Source organism: Homo sapiens, chromosome 2 (assembly GCF_000001405.40).
Source record: "Homo sapiens chromosome 2, GRCh38.p14 Primary Assembly".
NCBI classification, from domain to species: domain Eukaryota; kingdom Metazoa; phylum Chordata; class Mammalia; order Primates; family Hominidae; genus Homo; species Homo sapiens.
Window position 1 is genome coordinate 18499153 of NC_000002.12, and position 22034 is coordinate 18521186.

General features: G+C 39.2%; 1 long non-coding RNA gene across 1 annotated transcript in view; it reads left to right on the plus strand.

The window, feature by feature from the left end:
• The window catches only part of LOC105373454 (uncharacterized), a 148852-nt gene that overhangs the window by 112612 nt on the left and 14206 nt on the right, over positions 1-22034 (plus strand). The window contains exons 6-7 of the long non-coding RNA XR_001739302.1: positions 2307-2394; positions 15363-15446. This is a non-coding gene — a long non-coding RNA (uncharacterized LOC105373454). The remainder of the gene's footprint in view (positions 1-2306; positions 2395-15362; positions 15447-22034) is intronic.

Below are 22034 nucleotides of genomic sequence, written 5' to 3' on the forward strand. Positions count from 1 at the left end.
CAAAATATTTCCTTTTTTAACTTTTATTTTAAGTTCAGGGGTACATATGCAGGTTTGTTACACAGGTAAACTTGTGTCATGTGGGTTTTTTGTACAGGTAATTTCAACACCCAGGTATTAAGCCTAGTACCCATTAGTTATTTTTCCTGATCTTCTCTCTCACCCCACCCTCCACCCTCTGATAGGACCCATTTTGTGTTGTTCTCCTCTATGTGTCCATGTGTTCTCATCATTTACCTCCCACTTACAAATGAGAACATGTAGTATTTTGTCTTCTGTTCCTGCGTTAGTTTGCTAAGGATAATGGCCTCCAGCTCCATCCGTGTCCCTGCAGAAGACATGATCTCATTGTTTTATATGGCTGCATAGTATTCAATGGTGTGTACGTTATTACATTTTCTCTCTGCAGTCCATGATTGCTGTGAGAATCAAATAGCTCATATGTATAAAGATTCTTTGCAAGCTGTAAATCAGTATTAAATGTTTTTCAGGAATACAACTTTTTTTGTAAAAGTAAAAGAGATTTTCTCTCTGACTTCAGGAAATCACATCAACCAGTGAAGTTCCAGTTTGAATGTTAGCTGGGAAGCACAATTGTAGAACAGACTTAGTTGCCTACGTAATACCCATTCTCCCCTTCTATTTTAAAAACACCCCCCTGACTTTATTCAGTGCAGCAAAGGGCAGAGATAAAATATGAAATTTCTCAGCCTCCTTTGCAGCTATTAGGGGTCAATGATCTATAAAACGCAAGTCAAGGCAGTAGAGGTGTGGGCAGAGCTTCCCCAAAAGCTCTAAGACTGACTCAACTGAACTCCTTCTTCCTTCCTGCTACCTGAAATGTGTATGGAGTGGTCAGGCCGCAGCTCATATCTTATGACATGAAGTAAACTTGAGGATGGAAGAAGCTACGTATGAAAGAAGTAGAAAATTTAAACAGAGTTAGGCTAAATTTCTGATAACCTCGGAGCTATCATACTGACCCCAAACTAATTACTTTTTCTGTGTAATAGATAAACAAAATATGTATATCCTTAGAGCTTCTGAAACTTTGTTGTTAAGTGCGGCCAAACATATTTTTAAACAATCCACTAAGAAAAGTATTGTTATATGCAATGTCAATCAAAGACCCTAGAAAGAAATACTTTGCTGCTTCAAAGCAGATGCTACAAACCAAAACTTATACCTGACTTCATATGTCTCATATAGCAACTATTTTCCATCTTTCTGTTCATATTTGTTTCTCATCTCTGAATAATAGCTGTTCTTCATGTAAGTGCCAGGCCATACCTGAATCTGTTGCTTGTATCTAAAGAATGCATGAGGTAGATGAAACGTTCTCCCTCACGGGCTATATATGACATGCCACTTGGAACACATCCCAGTGAGTGTGTAGCAATGCTTCACTGTGACGTTGTGAACTCCCAGATAGATTGTGGTTCACCACGCTTTCTGGGAACAACTTAAGTAATCCTTCCCCTTCATCTTTGGGTAGTTTGTCCAAAACTGATCATCATAAATTTGTGTCTATTAAATTTCTTGTGTTGTATGCATGTGGAATATTAATTCATATAGTCAAATTTTTAAATTTTTCTGAGTTTTGTAGAAAACCATTACCATAGTAGTGATATCATCTACAAATCTTGTTTCATATTTCTAGCTTGTTAACAAGCATTTATTAATCCAAAGTGCTCTTTCTGTGCTTTTGTATAATCATAAAAGCATTTAGTGGTCAGCCTTAAAAAAAAAACTAATTTTAGGAACTAGCCAAAATTAGATGAAATTGCTTATATAAATCTAATAGTCTCCTTTTGTTTTTCTCCCTATTCTAGGAAATGTTTTACTATCCCATTATTAGATAAAGCAGAGAACCATGGACTATAGCATAAAACTCTTTAATCATACTATTATAAGAAAATAGCCATCGCCACTGACTATCTGTGAACCAAGCACTGTGTTACGTGCTTTGCAAATGTGAGCTCAATTAACTATCCACAGCACAACTCTTGATTTCTATCAATTTCCTCCATTTACAAAAGAAACTAAAACTTACAAAATTTAAATAACTTTCCCATGATTTCAGAGTAAGCTGTATGTGCTTAGGGGGTTGGGCATGGGACCGGGGTAAAAGTCAGAATTCAAACCCAGGCTTGATTCCAAAACCTATCATCTTTCTGTTAGGTTCTACAACATCTCAACCTCTATTACCCTAATTTCATGGTGCATGCTGTAAAAACAAGCAAGAACATTGTTTGGCCTCAACTTCCTCCCCACAAAACCCTCAGCCATACTTTTTGTTCACATAGGAAACTGAATAAAGGAAAACATGGACAACCTCAAATGCAGAAACATGACATATTTTCTCATGAGGACAGCGTGGCCCAGGAGAAAGAGGTGAGTTAGGATTCAGAGCATGTTCAGATTCCCCTATGAGGGATCCCATTCTCTAAACTTGGAGAAGCCACTTTCCTTTACTGAGGCTTTGTTTCCTCATCAGAGAGGAGTCAAAGGTTAGACAAAGTAACATCTTTTGTTTCGGAAATCCATGGAGTTTGCAGCCAGGATATGGGGGAATGTTCTGGATGAGAGGTAACCATGAAGGCATGGATTCTTTTGCATGGTTTTCAATCTGTAGGATATTCCTTTTTCTTTCCATTCAACGCTTTGCAGAGTGTTAAAAAGCAAGGAGTTCTAAATTTGAGGCAAACACAGTATTTTTCTCTTATATTTTTATAATGCTTAACAATTAACAGAGTATTGTCATGTGTATTATCCTCATAGCAACTGCTGTAAATAGTGATATCATTATGTTCTAGTTTTGCAGAGGAGAAATTCATCCTCCAAGAGAACACTCACTTTAAAATTACAAAAGCAATCTTTGGGGGTGCTAGATTTGGACCCAGTTGTGTTCTTTGAAAATTCTCCTTCCACACAACACTAACCTCATTATTTCTGTAATCTGAGAACAAGAAACACAAACCCACTACTGCTATTAGGACCAAAGTTTCATTTCTATACTCAGGTGGGTATTTGGAAACAGTGGTTCACAATAACAATTTCTGCAATGTGAAGAAACCAGCATTACTGCTCATCTGTAAAAATTTTTTAAAGTATATCTCTTCTGGAAATTCAACACTTTTTTCTCTCTCTCTCAATGTATGCATATATGTATGTAGATATGACATCATTTGTAGGAGTGTGCAGTTTTGTTGTCTTTATTTATTCATATGATATTTTTCCCATTTATTCCTCTCACTGAGCACCTCCCAATGGCTAGACCCTGTGCTAGGTATGGGGCATACAGAGATAGACGAAGTATCTCTGACACCACTGCCTTGTCCACATGTGAGCAACGTGGGGTATTCATGTGTGCACTGAATGCTAACACAAGGAAGGAGGTATCCGTTACAGAATAATAGAAGCAAAATGTGGTGGGAGCGTAGAACACAGATTGATTTTTTAACTCTTTCTTTGGAATATAAAAGTCCCACCAACACAAGAGAGGCTAGTCTTACCAGTAGATGGTCAGGGTTGGGATATTTCCCTCCCCTCAAATATCGATTCCCACTTCGACATCATGGTGACTGAAATGATAGCATCCATTGCACATCACGAAGAAAGGATTTCTGAAGACATCCCAGAATAGAATAAAGAAGTAATTAGTCTGGGCCCTCAATATCTTCTTGCTTTAGGTGTGGGGGTGCAAAAAGTCCCTCATCAGCTTCTTTGATGCTGGCCCATTACTGGCTGCTCTCTCAAGAATCTACTGGTGCTCCTGACTCTGTAGGTGGACAGAGAAAATTTTAGCTATTAAATGTTACATAACTAACACTTACATAATTAAATATTACGAATCTTACCAGTAAAAGCTTCTTCCCAGCATCCTTTATGAATGTGCACAGCCAAGTTCACTAAAGATATTGAGACTGTGGCCCCTCTCTCAACACCCCCCATCTGCCTGCCCCATCATTCCCTCGATGCTAGCACATACTCCTCCCCCTTTACCCACATCTTCAGCCCCACTCTGAGACCTAACCCAAGACCCAGCTTCTTCATGTGGTCTTTCCTATAGCAGTTCCAGAATCACCTTTTTCGCTCTCCCCTGTTTATATTGTCATTTGCTAATTATCTTTTTAAAATTATGCCATAATTTCTCTTGTTTTAAAATGACCGGCTTCCTCGACTACATTTTTGTGTTCTTTGAAGGAAGTTATATACTTTCAAGAACCGTGCATAATAGCAGTTTTATTTGGCTTTACTGAAGTGACACATACTTAGCAATTTTATCCATTTGAATGAGGGAATAACAAATTGCAATGTTTGCAAGCTGAGCAGGGCTTTTCAAAGACCATATTTTAAGAGGCCCATGCCACACTATATCAGACATACTAAAACGTATTCACATCTCAATTAAATATTATTTACATATGCATATTTGTGGATTTCTCTACATATACACATACATATGCATATATGTATGTATACAAATATATATGTGTATATATATCTCTATATGAAGTGAATTCTAATTTGCTAGTTAAAATAATGTTCTGTTTCATACCTGTTTGACCATATTGATGTCAATTTTCCAATTTTTCTTTTTTACTTTAGAGCCAATGCTGCTTTTGGGGCATCATTTTTATAGGATCTGGACAATGGAGAGGCATGTTGGGTTGTTGATGGGGGCAGGTGCTTCCTGATCATCACTGTGAAACAGAAATAAGCCATGGCTTTGACCTAGCAGCCCAGCCTCACTGCAGAGCGGACGTCTTTGAGCAACACTGGTTGTGTTGACACAGACATTAGGTTACATCCCTCACTGCTGTTTCCACTTGTCCTGATTTTTCCTAGCGTCCTCTTTTGCTCTGAGATTTTCCAGGATTTTTCACACCACTTAGGGGATTTGCAGATGGAAATTTTGAGTAAAATGTGTTCACTCGTTTTCATGTTATGCAAGAGTGAAAACAAAAAAGCCTCAAACTCAATTTAGGATGGAGTGGGATGGGGTGGAGTGGCGCCCATGCACGAAAAACTCAAAACTGCTAAATTGCAAGAAGCAAAACTTTCCTTGAGCTTAATTTTCAGTGTGGGAGATTCTCTGTAGGGGTTTTGGGGAAAAAATGACAGAATTTTTAAGCACCATTGACACGAATATTTGCTACATAGACTTTGAGTGATGTACCCATTTCCATGTTGTAAATTGATAAGCAAAGGGAGTTGCTGAGGCTGGAAGTTACTGTTAGTGGTTTCTGAGGGTATCATGCAATGATTTTAGGAATCTTATCTCCACACTTTCTACTCCCACCACCCGATCCTCTTTGATGCCCCCGTGACTTATGCAATCCTATCTCTTACATTTTCATTTTTGTTTAATGTTTCAGACTTAGTTAAAACTCTAAGACACAATTGTAAAATTTCCTGTTTGAGGGAAAAGAATCTTTTTTTTTTTTGTTATACTTTACGTTTTAGGGTACATGTGAACAACGTGCAGATTTGTTACATATGTATACATGTGCCATGTTTGTGTGCTGCACCCATTAACTCGTCATTTAACATTAGGTATATCTCCTAATGCTATCCCTCCCCCCTACCCCCACCCCACAACAGGCCCCAGTGTGTGATGTTCCCCTTCCTGTGTCCATGTGTTCTCATTGTTCAATTCCCACCTGTGAGTGAGAACATGCGGTGTTTGGTTTTTTGTCCTTGCGATAGTTTGCTGAGAATGATGGTTTCCAGGTTCATCCATATCCCTACAAAGGATATGAACTCATCATTTTTATGGCTGCATAGTATTCCGTGGTGTATATGCACCACATTTTCTTAATCTAGTCTATCATTGTTGGATATTTGGGTTGGTTCCAAGTCTTTGCTATTGTGAATAGTGCCGCAATAAGCATATGTGTGCATGTGTCTTTATAGCAGCATGATTTATAATCCTTTGGGTATATACCCAGTAATGGGATGGCTGGGTCAAGTGGTATTTCTAGTTCTAGATCCCTGAGGAAAAGAATCTTTTAATGTTCACCCCATGGAGGAGTGTTCAGAATGCTTTTCTGACAGTTGCTAAGCATCCATGCATAAATTAGATGCAGATTGAACTATACAGAAACTTTTCCCATATGCACTATAAGCTCAGTTCACTTCAGTCTGCAAAGAAACAATACATACATGTAGAACTATTGAAGATTAAATTAAATAGTGTATAGCAAGCAACTATCATAGTACCTTATATATAACAGTGGCTTAATAATTAGTAGGTAGATTATCATTTTTATTTTAGCTAGAGCAGATCCTAAGAATGAAATATATCTATGTATAGATTGTAATATTCTTAAATTCTTTTTATATTTTATATGTGTTAGGAACATGAACACTTACCCACTCACTCTATTCACGTGGCCAATTGAGAGTTCCATATGAGTGGTTGGTTCACTAATTGTTGTCCCCTGGGAGGGACAGAAGAGCAAGAAACTATACCCACTTCAGTTTATTTCCAAATTGTATCAATGAGAAAGTGGTTGATTTTGAAGTTATGTTAATGTATAGAATTGTTTCAGTTCTCTGGAGCCTACTAAAAATACATCTGTCCCACAAAGTGAAGTTGTGAAAGATAATGGCATTTCTCTCCCTATCTTGATAATAAAGAAGTGATTAAAGAACTGACAGTTCTTCTCTGTGTCAAACCTCCCTGAACTGTATCACAAAGCAGGACAATCAGAAATGATGCAATGTTATGAAAGGGAGGAAGAGTAGGAGGGAAAAATTAAGAAATGAGGTGGAGAGAGGGGAAAAGAGGGAAAGGGAGAGGAAGATGAAGAGGGAGAGCGAGAGAGGTGACAGAGTATGTTCTTAATTAGCAGATTGCAGCAGGGGAGAGATCTTAACGGCTGGAACTGGACATTCTGAGACATGGTCAGGGGAAAGAAATCAGGTTTCCTCTTTGCCTGAGGGCAAAACATTGGCAGTTCCTCATAGAAGCAAAGTGCAGGCTTAAGTTCTTGAAATCCAAGGCGTTGTCAGCTTGAAGTTTATCTAGATCACAGGTGAAAGGTTAAAGTCAGTATGAAATTCAACATGTGATAATTTCATTGCACTGGCAACTTGGAGTGGTGGCTCCATCAGGTTCCAGAGGAAGGTATCCAGACCGGGTGTGGATGCAATCATCCAAACAATAAGCAAAGCCCAATGGCTTGGATACCAACCCTGGGGGAGGATGGATCTGGCATTTGCGTCAGTTAAGTCTGCCCAACTCCCTTCCTTCTTCCCTTCCTCTTTCCCCCTCTTTTTCTTTTTTCCCTCCCTTTCTTCCTTATTCAAAACATTTGCAGATAGCGAAAATTTATATTTAAACATATATAAAATATATATGTATAGCTCTATGAATGATTATAAAGAACTACTCTTGTGAAAACAGCACCCAGGTCAAGAAATGGGGCACCTACAGAACCCCAGAAGCCCTGTGTCTGCCTCTATGCAATTGTAATCCTCTTCTCATCCGAGAGGGGTAACCACTATGCTAACTATCATCATAATCATTTATTTGTTTTCCTGAGCTTTAATGCTGTTAAAATTTTTCCTCAAAAGCATTATTTAGTTTAGGCTATTTTTCAACTTCCTACAAAAAGAATCACTGTATACACACACACACACACACACACACACAGCTATATATATATACACACATGCATATATATAATATATATACACACATGCATATATATATTATATATACACATATGCATATATATAATATATATGTACAGTCCCATGATTTGTTCATTATTGAACATTATGTTTAGAGATTTTTCTTATGTTATTGTACGCAGCTGCTGTTCATTTATCTTATTTTCTGTATAGAATACCCTGGTATAAGAAACTGTCATGCAGGTAGCCATTCTACTGCTGGGGAACAGCTAGGTTACTTCCAGTTTCAGTTATTGCGAATATGCTCATACGTGTCCTCTGGAGCGCATATACAAAGGCTTCTATAGTATATACAGCAAGTCTAGAAAGACTGGTCGTAAAGTACATGAATCTCCATCTTCAAGAGATCATGCCAACTGTTTCCTCAAGTGATTGTACCAATTTACCCTCGAACCAGCGACGAGTGAAACATCTTACCAAAGTTAATATTATGCAACTTTAAAATTTTTTGACATTCAATTTCACATTGTGGTTTCAATATTTATGTCTCTGATTGCCACTGAAGTTAAACCACTTTTCATAAGCTTATGGCCAATTTAGAAAGACCAGTTCATATCTTTTCATTATCTTTTTGTATTCATTTGTTTCTTTTTTTCTTCAGGATGTATGTAGTTCTTTAAATGTTCTGGATGGCTGATATTTGTCAGTTGTATGTGCTGCAGATACTTTTCAATTCAGTGGTTTGTAGTTTTACTTTTAGTGTTATCTTTTTAACTTTGATATCTTTGATACATAGAAGTTTTTTTTTTTTTGAGATGGAGTCTCGCTCTGTCACCTAGGCTGGAGTGCAGTGGCACGATCTCGGCCCACTGCAAGCTCCGCCTCCCGGGTTCACGCCATTCTCCTGCCTCAGCCTCCCGCTGTAGCTGGGACTACAGGCGCCCACCACCATGCCCGGCTAATATTTTTTGTATTTTTAGTAGAGACGGGGTTTCACCGTGTTAGCCAGGATGGTCTCGATCTCCTGACCTCATGATCCACCCGCCTCAGCCTCCCAAAGTGCTGGGATTACAGGCGTGAGCCACCGCGCCCAGCCCTAAGCTCTTATTTTTAATAACGTTAAATTACTAGTTGTTTCTTTTATGACTCATATAAATTTTTGTCTTCTTTATTCCAAGACCATGAAGATATTCTCTTATATTATTATAGAAAACATTTATATAATTTTATTTCATTTATATAGTTTCATCTCTCTTAGATATTTAAATGACATGCAACAATTTTTGCATACCAAGTGAGATAACAGTCTGATTTCACTTTTCCATATTGTTGGTCAATATACTTATGCATCATTTATTGAAAATAATATGTTTCATTTAATGAAATAAAATGCAACTTCTATCACAGTTCAAGGGTTCATATGTACATAATTTTGTTTGAGTTGTACTGTTTGCTACTTCCTTGCCCTGAACCAATACCACAGTCTTAATTATTATAGCTTCACAGAAAGTATTTATTTCCTTTAAAGCAAATACTCTTCATTTGTTATTTTCTAGAATGTCTTTGTCACTCTTCTCCTTTTGCTTTTCCATATACATTTAAAAACTACTTGTCAGACTGGGCACCGTGGTTCACCTCTGTAATCCCAGTACATTGGGAGGCTGAGGTGGAAGGATCACATGAGGCCAGGAGTTTGAGGCCACAGCGAGTTATGACTGTGCCACTGCACTCCAGCCTGGGAGACAGAGCAAGATCCTGTCTCTGAAGAAAAAAAAATGATAAACAACTTTTCAAGTTCCACGCACACACATCCCTCTTTTAGAATTTTGATTGACATTGCACTGAACCTATAAGCCAATTTGGGAAGAATCAACATTTTTAAAATATGAAGTCTTCCAGATATCATAAACACAGTATATTCTTCCAATTACTTAAGTCTTCTGCAATAACTCTTATCTAAGTTTCACAATATTTTCTGTAAAACTTTTGCATAACTTTTGCAAGATTTATGTTTAGATATTTTCTATTTCTTGATGTTATTATAAATTGTATAATTTAAAATTTCATTTTCTAGTGACTTACTGCAAATATATATACATATATAATGTATAAATATGGTAATGTATAATGTATATATGATAATGTATATATGCAATATATATTTTGTAAAAATCATATATTTGTTGACTAGCTAAATATATATATAATATGAGATCCCAGAAACTTTTCTTTCTTATAATTTGTCTACAGATTCTTTTGAATTTCCACATATGCAGCTGTTTCATCAGTAAATAATGACAATTTTGTTTCTGTCTAATTCTTAACATTTGTATGATGTCTTTCTGTTGCTTTATCCCACTGTTTATGATATTCAGTATAATCATTTTTTAAAAGGGGAGCAATAGCCCTCCTTGTCGCAGTACAAAACTCAGAAGGAAAACTTTCAACCATTAATTATATTTGTAGCAGGCTTTTTATTAATATAAACCCTCTTTTAATGATATTTTCTTCCAACTTTTGTTGCCAAGATCTTTTAAATAATGAACTGTTCTTTTAAAAATTGTGCTGAATAAATCGTAACACAATGGTATTTGTTTATCTAAACATAGAAAACATACAATAAAAATATAATATATATAATATAATGTTTAAAAAATTGTGTCCAATATTTATTTTTTGATTTTTTAGGGTTTTTATTTTTATTTTTTTTGAGAGAGAGGAGACTGAACTTTTATCAGCTACTGAGAGAGGTGTGTTAAGATTTCTTCCTCTGATTCTGAATTTACTTATTTCTTCTGGTAATTTTGTCAACTTTAGCAAACTATATTTGAAGCTATATTAATGAACATTTATAAATTTAGAGTTGTTATATTTTCTCAGTAAATAAAATTATGTATTATTATAAAGTGATGCTATTTATATTTTATGCATATTGCCTTATAATCTATTTTGTTCGGTATTAGTATAGCTATAGCAGTTCCTGTGGGTGATCAGTATTTATTTTTCATGTTTCTACTTTGAATTATTTGTATCTTTATGGTTTATATATGTGTCTTATAAAAAGCTTCCACATGAATATTTTAATCTGTCTAATAATCTTTATTTTTTAATTAGAACATTTATTCTATATTTATATTGTATGTTATATATGGATTTATCTTTTATATAATTTTGTCCTTTCTATTTGTTCTTCTATATTGTTTTCTTCTTCTGTCTTAACTTTGATGGGAAGTGTTTTTATCATTCTATTTTTTTAACCTCTAGTAAATATGCACTCTGTTTCTGTTATTTTAGCAATTACCATAGAAATTAAGGCATAAACTCTAAACTCATAAAAGTCTGAAATTAATCAACATTTTTACCCTTTCTGCACAGTGTAATAATTTTAGATTGCATTGGCTCTAGTTACCCGCTTTCTAACTTACATGTTTAGTTTTGTCTTGTATGCCCATAGACATTATCTTAATGTTTATATAGGCAGTACTTGCTATGGACTGAATGTTTGTGTCCCTCCCAAAATTAATATGTTGAAATCGAAAGCCCAATGTGACAGTGTTAGAAGGAGGTATTAGAAGTTCTTGGGAGGTGATTAGCTCATGAAACCTCTGCCTTCGTGAATGGGATTACTGCCCTTACAAAAAGATACCCCAGAGAGCTAGCTAGCCCCTTCTGCTATGTAAGGATACAGCAGGAAAGCACCAAGTATGAAATACAGAGTGAGCCCTCCCCAGACACCAAATTTGGTGCTGCCTTGATTTTGCACTTCCCACCCTCTAGAACTGTGAGAAATGAATTTCTATTGTTTACAAGCCACCTACTTTATGGTAATTTGTGACAGCAATCTGAATAGAGTCAGATGTTGTTAGATATTCACATATTCCCACTTTCTCTGTTTTTATTCCATCCTATGGCTCAGACCTTCAATCTGGCATCAGTTTTCTTCTGCCTGAAATTTTTTTTTTCAGAATTTCTTTTAGTGAGAGTCAGCTGCTAAGAAATATATAGTTTAATTTACCTGAAAATGTTTTAGTTTTGCCCCCATTCCTGAGAGATGTGTTTTCTGGATAGAGAATTTGAGGACAGCAGTACCCCTCACAGCACCCATCACACACAAACACACAAAATAAAGATATCATTCCATTTCTTTGGATTCAATTGCTGCAGTTCAAAAGTCAGCTGTTCGTCTATCATTGCCTTAAAGACAACGCTTCCCTTCAGTGCCCTGCCATTACCACCACCAACACCACCAAGCTTCAGCTTTTTATCTCTGGGGTGTTCACCAGTTTTCCTATAATGTGTTTAACTTGGCTTTTCTTTAATTTTTTTCTGTTTCTGATTCATTGAATTCCTTGGGTCTCTAAATTAATGTCTTTTGCCATTTCTGGAAATTTCTAAACTGTTATATCTTCAGATATTTCTTTTTAAACATGTTATCTATGCCCTCCTTCTGGGAGTCTGAAAATATGCTAAGACCATTTCACTTAATGTTTTATGTCTCATAACTTCTCTATCACATTATAGGTCTCTTTGTTTATGTTATAATCTGGATGATTTATTCTGAATCTGTTTTACAATTTACCAATTATTTTTTAGCTGTCTCTAATCTATGGTTAAAACTGATCATTGAGTTTTTAATTTTAATCGTCTCTTTATTTGAAAAATTTCTAATTTTTGTCAAATCTGCTGTCATTTTTTGTGGATTTCCACTCCACAGATTTTTAAAGCTTTCCTTTTAATGTATTTAAACACAATATAGTTAATTATTTATTAAACTGTGTCTGACAATTCTAGTATCTTAGGTCTTTGCAAAACTTTGCCTGTTGCCTTTGTTTGTTTGTTTGCTGCTTCTTACTTATGGTTTATTGTCTCCTTGTTCTTTTTGGACTGTGAGCTGCTGCGTTTATTTGGAAAATTATTTCTGGGCCTTCTTCAAGGATAGAATGATAGTGCATTCCTCCAGAGAGTACTGATATTTGCCTCTGCAATTTGAATCTGCGCAGTTTGAAGATTTATTTTTTATTTTTTTATTTTTGTTTCCCCAAGACGGAGTCTTGCTCTGTCGCCCATGCTAGAGTGCAGTGGAATGATCTCAGCTCACTGCAACCTCTGCCTCTCGGGTTCAAGCAATTCTCCTGCCTCCGCCTCCCAAGTAGCTGGGATTACAGACACCTGCCACCATGCCTTCCTATTTTTTTGTATTTTTAGTAGAGATGGAGTTTCACCATGTTGGCCAGGCTGGTCTCGAACTCCTGACCTCCTGATCCACCCGCCTCGGCCTCCCAAAGTGCTGGGATTACAGGCATGAGCCACCGTGCCTGGTCTGAAGATTATTTTTAACAATTATTGTGAATTTGGACTCTCAGTATGTGTTAGGGATAATTTGTGGTGACAACTTCTCAGAGACTATTTTCTCAGTACCAAGGCAGATTTCTATGTGGCCCCTGCAGGAAAGGAGAGACACAGGTTTATTGTGGTGTATTAGGCAAAACAGATTTATTTTTGGTTGGATCCCAGCTTTACAGGCATATGTTGTTTAGCGGATTCTCCTCCTGGGAAAGCGTGGCCTTTGGTGTGTGGCTTCCACACTCTGTATTTTAATCTGATTTGCCCAATACTCTCAGGAAAATGTGGCCATGAGTGTCCCCTTACATCTCTGGTTTCCTGCCTTTACATAGATTTTGACCAGATAATTTCTTACTATATTATAAGCTCTTCTGTGTTTATTATATAAAAATATATTTTGGATAGCATTTCAGATATTTTCAGAAGGAGAACTTACTCAAAAAACCTAACCAGCCACACTACTTAAGCTGAAATTGTCTTCTTTCTTGACATCTTAGCTATGTTAGAGTAAGCTCAATATTGTGGCTCCAGTGACACGTGGGGTCTTGGAGGAAAGGATGGCTGTTTTACATAGATTTCAGGATTTCTAACAATCAGTATCAGAAAGAAGCTTATGTCATTCATTTGTGAGATAAGTTTTACTATTTATTATTATTATTATTTTTAGAGAGAGCCTCACTCTGTTGCCAGGCTGGAGTGCAGTGGTGTGATCTCAGCTCACTACAACCTCCGCCTCCTGGGTTCAAGCGATTCTCCTGCCTCAGCCTCCCGAGCAGCTGGGACTACAGGCGCACACCACCACGCCCAGCTAATTTTTGTATTTTTAGTAGAGACAGGGTTTCACCATGTTGGCCAGGATGGTCTCCATCTTTTGACCTCGTGATTGGCCCACCTTGGCCTCCCAAAGTGATGGGATTACATGCTTTATAATTTTTATGATAATAAAAACTACAAATTTATTTGTGAATTTATAAAATTAAATGAATGAGAAAATTATTAAACACCCAATCATTATTTTACTAGTGTTGTTTTGGTATTTTATAGACACATGTTTGAATATGTATGTGGGTTATATAAATACATATACACACATATGTGTATATAAATACACACATATATATACACAAATATGTTTATGATATTAGATTATATTAACTATGTGCCCTGCATCTATTTTTCTCCTGATATATACACATGATGCACTATTAATTGACTGTGACCATCAGTTGACCAATAATGCATTTTGTTAACTATAGTCACCATGCTGTACAATAGATCTGTAAACTTATTCTTCCTGTCTAACTGAAACTTGTACCCTCTGACCAATATCTCTGTTTTCCCAACCCACCCCTCCCCAGATTCTGCTAACCACCTTTCTACTCTCTACGTCTGTGAATTTGATTTTTTTTTTTTTTAGATTTCACATATAAGTGAGGTCATGTGGTATTTGTCTTTCTGTGTCTGATTGTTGTTCTATTTCAGATATTCAGAGGGCTCTTGATACATTCTGGCCTGTTAAAATGGATTCCACAACTAAATGACAATTATTTGTTATATGGGAATAATAATAAATGCCTCCTTCACACACAGATGTGAGGCTATAAAAATTAAATGCGACGAGCTAGATCAAATCCCAGGATCTGGTTCTTGCTAGGTACCAAAACCTGTGTCCCCATAGTATTGCTATTACTCCAATTTCTGTGAACGTAGCTATGCAATTGCAATCCAAAAAGTTCCAAGTGATAAGATTCCAGTGTCTAAATCACCTGCTTTTCCTGCCCCACCTTTTCCTACTCCTCCACCACCACCACCACCACCACCACCACCACTGGTCATTCTCATCCTCTCTAATCATTTACGCTATTAGTACAATTTTCTAAAGAATTAATTAGGAAATTATTTTACCTTAGCCTTAGCTTGAAGTTAAATAGCATTACTTGATTTATTTGGGATTCTTAATATGTAAAATATTGTATTGCAGAAGGCAAAGAATAATGGAGGAAACCAGACAAAAGGATTCTTTGTCCCAGCCCCACCACTAACCTGTGGGATGATTCTGGACCATTCTTCCCATCTTGTTCTGTGAACTGTGGGAAACTCATCACACTTGTCATTGTGGTTACTTGGGGTCGTTGTGAGAATCAGACTCGATCTTGAGAACGTGCTCTAAATGCACACAGACAGACAGGGTGTGCGTGTGTGAGGTGCAATCTACGGGAGCCAGAGTCTCAACTCCTGGGAACACATCTCCGGGCTGCATTTCCAGCTGCTTTTTCCTTCGTTTGGTGATTGTGAGCAGAGCCCTTGGGGTTTGAGAAGCTCTTAGCCCATGAGTGCAAAAAGATGAGAAATAATAATATTTTTTTTCTCCATAGGGAACTTCCAGCATCTATGAGGAAACAGAATTTCTTTTGATCACAGAAGAAAAGAGAAGAATATTAACCATGGAGTGTCCACCAGTGAGAGAGTTTCTGTGCATTAGTTCTTGGAGGGACAGGGAACCTTGGTGAGAGAGAACAGACTGGAAGTAACTGGGTGTGGTTTTCCTGCTGCCCCAGCCTGGGGCTCAGCACCAGATCTCCTATCTGGTGGCTGCACCATAAGTCCCAGTCTTCCCAGAGGTAAAGAAAGAACAGACAGTTCTAGACCCTATAAAACAAAGCAGATGTCAGGGTGCTTACAAAGTCCAGTGCCCACAGGGCCAGGCAGGTCAATGTGTGTGAGTATGGCACACTGAAAGCATATATTATACAAAAGGAGACTGCTCACACTCAGCTGCAACTCCTTGTTGCCATATCAAATAGTGAGAAAGTGTGTGCATGCGGGTGTGGTGTGTGCATGTGTGTGATACCTGTTGGGAGTTGCTGGCAGTGGGGCAATCAGGGCATGCGTGGGAGCAGGAGCAGAGGGAGCAGTGATAAATAACCCCCTGCCCTCAATTAGAGGTGACTGTCTGCACTGGATCCTTCCCAGGCCTGCTTCTGTCTAGACAGTGCCACCACAGTGCCACCAAGAGTTAACATCCTTCCCAGGCTTCACTGTGTCTCCCTCTGGGTGTTAGAGGGCAAATCTGTAGAAATAATAAGTTTCTCAGAGCCAAACGCATGCCTCTGTTTCAAAGGGACTCCCCAGGCCAACCCTGATGGGGCCAAGCAAAATACTTCCGAGCTGGGTGTGCTCTGTAGCTGCCAGTTTGAGTCTTCTCCTCTTAAGGAAAGGAAATCTGTTCAAAATCAGTTTCTAAGGCAATGCTTTACCCTTATTTCAAACAGTTTTTTTTTTTGCTTCCTTCTTTTCTTTCTTCTTCTTCTGAGAAAATAAGTTTTCCTTTCTTCTAATGTCTCCTAATCCTAAATCAGTAACTGTAGTCCCACTGAACTGGGTAGAAGAAACAGAAGCTTTTGCTCTTACAGTAAATGGGACAGGCTAATTTTTGGCATAGGCAGGAAAAGATGAAGCTGGCAATTATTTGTTCTGAGGAACTCAAGCTGTCAGTCTCTCACATACTTTGATACTTTAGAAATGATCACTAAACTCTTTTCAAATTTGCTTTTGGATCCTACACCCTGAAGTGATGGCTGCTGACAGCAGAGTTTAGAATCTTGGGACTACAGAGGATGCCTTTGTCTCTGTACCCTTGTCATTTCCTGGAAGAAGGGGAGTCATCCCCATGAGTCTCCTGCAGAGGTGGCCAGAGATAAACACTAGCCGAACACAACTGCACTGTCCCTGGCATTTGGGGCCTCTCAGAATGAGGTTTGTTGTCAACTGGGAGAGCCCTGGTACTCCATTCCCAGGATCAGCCATCAGGGTGCAGACATTGCAGGTCAAAACGTCGTCTCAGACTTTACCCTCCAACCATTGAGAAAACATCTCTGCTTAGTGCCAGAGATAGCCCCACCTAACTTGGTGGAAGTAGCAGTAACGAAGTATAAACACACCTCCTTCTCCCAGACGCTCAGGGCTCTGTTTACAGATTAAATCTCAGGATGTGTATATTCGACGTTCTTATTCCAGGATATTAATGGCAAAATGAACTTGTCTGGTGATGGCTCCGTCACATTAATGTCTGATGGACGGTTCGGATGTGAAAGGTGCATTAAGGCCTGCTGAGGGCCCTGCGTGTGCGAGTCAGGAATGTGACTGCAAGGCTGGAATGTGAGCTTGTTTAGAGTGAACCCAAATGGAGTCGATTTAACCCTGCAGGAGTCGAGTCATCTGAAATACCACAGCCCCAGAAGGCAGAGTCTTGATAAATAGAAGGAAATGTGCAAAATATTTATCTTGCGATTCTTAATCTGCCTAATGTAGTCTAGCGGCATTTCTAGGAAGCTTTGTGGGTTTTAACCATTATCTCAAAATTTATAGTTAGCTCAGAGGTCAACTGGAAACATGGCTCTGCAGGTTCCTAAAGTCTGTTTAAATCTCCCAGAGGTATCCGGGTTGTCTCCTGCCTGGAGAAATCTGGAGAGAATTCTTACAGAAGGTGATGGGTGTGTCTGGGCTATGGAGCATCTCTTGGATTTATTGAATATTTAGCAAGCATCTATAATGTGCCCATCACTGAGCTAGGCAGAGAAAGGGAGAAACACATATTTTGGTTCTGGAGCTTGTGTGTAGTCTGATTGGGAGGTGAGATAGACCCCAGGAAACAAGTATAGAACGAAATAGAGCAATTAAGCCCAAGGTCTTGGGGTATGGGACAAGACAGCCAGACATTGAAGGAACCACTAAGATTTATCAATGTTCTTTCTCCTCCATCACAGGGTGTGTTGGCAGCTTCAAAATATGAGCCTTGAATGACTCTAGTTGAGAACATAGTGAAAGCCATCGTATAACTTGCAAAAGCAAAAGTGTTTTGTGTCTCTTCACATGCCATGTTGAGCGTATGTGTGTTGGTATCCAGGGTGGCTGGGAAAAGAGAGTGAAAGTGGGTGGATTCCCTTCTCTCTTCCCCTCTGTCTCTTCTTCCATCTTTCATCCTTGCCTCACATCCTACCCACAGTCCTTTGTAGATGACAGAAGCCACAGAGCTGAGGAAGGAGGGACAGCTGGGGGTGCCACTATGATTTCTGCCACCTGATTCATCCTTAAACATCAAGAAGCTGACTTTCCTAGTGCCTTGGTGGAGGACATGGTAGCTCCTCCAGGTCCTACTGAGAATACTCCAAAGTCCAAAATTAACCAATCCTGATTCCTAAAACAGGTAAAAAAGAACAGTTCTGATGAAAAGGATTTGGGGTGTTTTCTTTTTCTTTTTCAACTTTGATTTTAGAATCAGGGGTACATGTGCAGGTTTATTACAAAGATTTGTTGTGTAATGCTGAGGTTTGGAGTATAATTGATCCTGTCACTCAGTACTGAGCACAGTACCCAACAGTTTGTTTCCACCCTCCCCACCCTGCTCCCCACTTTTGTATTCTCCAGTGTCTATTGTTCTTATCTTTATGTCCATGTGTGCCCAATGTTTAGCTTACATTTATAAGTGAGCATATGTGGTATTTGGTTTTTCTGTTTCTGCGTTAGTTTGCTTAGAATAATGGCTTCCAGCTGTGTCCATGTTGCTGCAAAGGAAATGATTTCATTCTTTTTTATGGCTGTGTAGTACTCCATGGTGTATATGGACCACATTGACTTAATTGAATCCACCATTGATGGGCACCTGGGTTGATTCCATGTCTGAAAAGATTTAAGTTTTAAAAAATTGTTATAAAAAGCCACCTTCTTTTTTTGAATCTTGCTTTATAACTAGTACAAAGCAAACATCAGATACCTGTGTATATTTATACAATTTTAGTCATTTTCAGAATATTTAACTGAATATAAAACTGTTTTTAAAAGAACATTTTATTTTCTAAAAGTTAGTCTTTTTGTATCATGGACATATAAAAAATAACAAACCTATTTCAGCTCTTTAAAAGCTCATTTCAATAAAAACAAAAAAGGAAGCGCCGGCTTCATGTTCATTTCAGTGGCCACTAATCCAGCCAACACATACTGAATGCCCCTGAGTGCCTAACACAGTGTTAGATACTAATGGCAAAGGGGTGAATCAGATGTGGTCCCTGCCCTTTGAAACTAACTTGCTTTTCAAGAGGCTGTAACTGAGGAACACTCTCTATGGGCAGCTCTTTGGTAGCACAGAGTTCCCCAGGAAGCACTATATAACATCTCCCATCCCTGCTCCATCATGACTCATACGAAAAACTTCTAGGCTGAATTCTGTCAGGAAAAAAAAAAAGAAAAGAAAAGGAAAATGATAAGTAAATACATTTGACAATAAATTTGAGATCATAAACCTTGGGATTCTTTTTATAATACCACGCACTTCAAAATCAGGCAGTATTTTTCATTTGACGTGGTTTTAAAGGTAGCTCAAAGAAAACACAGGATTAACCGTAAGTAGTGGGATAGTAAGCGTGAGCCAAGCTTCCAAATAAACACATCAGAGACTTGGGCTAAAAAAAGACAGAACACAAATAACCTCCTCTTGATGTGCCTACAGTTTCATTTAACTGTTCCCAGGTCATGAACTAATTTACCAAAAAGAGGTTAACTCCAGTGCAACCAAATGGCATTTCAGGAAGCAGGTTTTGTGCATATCGCCTGTGGAAGCCGGGCCACTTGAACCCCGCCTGTGAAATGCCTCTCGGATGAGCACTTTTTAAAACTCTTTAGTGTATTCTTTTTCAGTGAATGGGTAATGCGTTAGGACATTGGAGAATACAGGCCTTAAGAAACATGAGCTTGGCTTCTTCCCAAGTATTGATGTCTCCAAACCAAAGAATTAGCCTAAATAAATTTGTTTTGAGTGACTGTGTGACCTCGAACAGCCTACTTTCCCTTGGTCAGCTAGATGTGTTTCCTACAAACTGAAGAGCTTAGATGAGCTGCTCTTTCAAGTCCCTTCCAGGACACAGAGGCCCTTCCCAAGAACTCAACACAGGAAAGCTGGCCTCTGCCCCCAGAAGCTTCCAGGCGAAGGAGAACAGTCAAGGAGCCAAAGTCCTAGGTGCTCCGCTGGAGGGTGACTTCCACTCACACCAATCTTCCAAAACCTAGGGACTTGGGACCGAGCAGCGGCATTATATCATTTCCAGGCAAAGCCCAAGTTCTGTCTTCCGTACCCACGGTCTCTTTTCGCATTTTGCGCAACATCATTTGCTGCTTCATCTGACCTAACTCGGTGGGTTTCTTGATTTTAATGTGTGTAGAAATTACTTATTGGAGAATTTTATTAAACATGCACATTCTTAAGCCTGGCGTCCAGTGATCCTCTTTTGGGAGGCCTGGGCAAGGGCCACGACGTAGGCACGCTTCACAGGCACCCAAAAGGTTCCCACGCAGCAGTGACCCATGAAACATGCTTTGAGGAACACTCATCTGATGGTTCTGGAGTGGGGTTGGTCTCCCTCACAGACTCAGGCTCCTGGGAGCCAGGGACTCATTTGACATTGCAGTGAAACAGAGAACATGGAAAGGGACATGCCATGTAGTCAATCCAAATTGGATGAGTAAGTGAATCAATGAATGACTAAGGCACATGCAATAGGGAAGGTCATTGTCACCATGAACTGAAACTTTCCGGCAGTGTTGGAGAAGGTAAGGTGAGTGGGAGACGTGGTACAAGACAGGCTTCAAAGCTGGGTCTCTGATGGGTCACCAGAAACAGTAGGGTCCTTGTAAGGCAATGCTTCTTCTCTAGCAGACACATTTTTCCAGAGGGAGTCTGTCAGCCTCCATGATATTTTAAGCTGCATCCCTCAAAATGTCGTAAAGGAGGATTAAAGTATAAATGATTGTCAGTTCACTCCTGTCCTCCTGGTACTGCGCTGAGCATCTCAGGCTGTTTGGAAGACAGGGGCAGCAAGGGAGGGGAGGAGCAGGGGAGGGCCTTAAAATGTGACTGAACAGAGCCTGCAGAGAATGAGGAGCTCTGGTGTGTCTTGGGGGGCTAAAGCAGTTCACAGGCTGCTACTTTTTTTGTGACATAGCTTTTACGGGGGGAGAGCCAGAATATTAAGCTCATTGCTTCCAGATGGGAAGGTTGGACAAGACAGAGAGGCTTTGGCTCCGAAAGCTTGGACGCTGTGGTGCGATATGGATGTGACATATTGAAGTAATCGAGATAGAAGATCTGGCTTTAGCCAAGGCTGTCAGATAGATACTTTTTAAAACATTACATGGTTTGTAACAAGGTATTGTGTATCCTCACAGAAACTCTGCCGCCTAGGTCTCTGGGAAGGCAGTGGGGGGAAAAGTGTGCTTATTTTGCTTGAGTTACTAAAGCTCCTTTTATATATGAGGAATTTGGCATCTCCTGGCTGGGAACGGCTGAGCCAACAGTGTCCGATGCACTTGTAATGTAGATCATGCTAGTGACTTGCTAAGTGAGTCCAGGTGTTTGCATAAGAGGCAGGGTCCTAAGCACCTCCTTATTTGAGCCCCGAAGCAATCATGGCCCAGTGCTTCAAATGAGCCTCAAATCTGTTTAATAAATCATCCTTCTATTTATAGAGTTAATCCAGGGAGAAAGCCTCCGTGTTGTCTGGTGGGGCATGTGCCACCAGAGGGCGCCCGATGTCTGCCTCATTCCATCAGAGTGGCTCTTGCTATATCAGGGGTTTTGCCTCCCCTGCAAGCTCCTTTATCCAGTCCTTTCCTTCCTGAGCTTTCAGGCCCTGGATGGCATACCTATGGATCAAAGCCAGGTGGGGCAGGGAGAACCCCCAGACCCTTTCACGAGGGACCCTTTCTCCTCCAGTGTCTTCAGTGAGAACTTCCCTCTGGGCCAGCCTGCCCATGCACGCTGTGGAAAGGGAGAGAAGGCCCTGCCTCATTTGGAAATCCTGAGTTTGCAATGTGCTGGTTTACTTGCAATTCTCATGTTCAGAGAATGGGCCCCTTCCTTGGCTAACTTCACACCTGAGAACATGTCGGGGCATCCCTGCGGACCCAGTGTCTGCTTCACATTTCAAAGGCTGGGAACTGTTAAGCTTGTATTTTGATTAAAATTTTGTATTAGCGCCCCCCCCCTTCAATGTAAT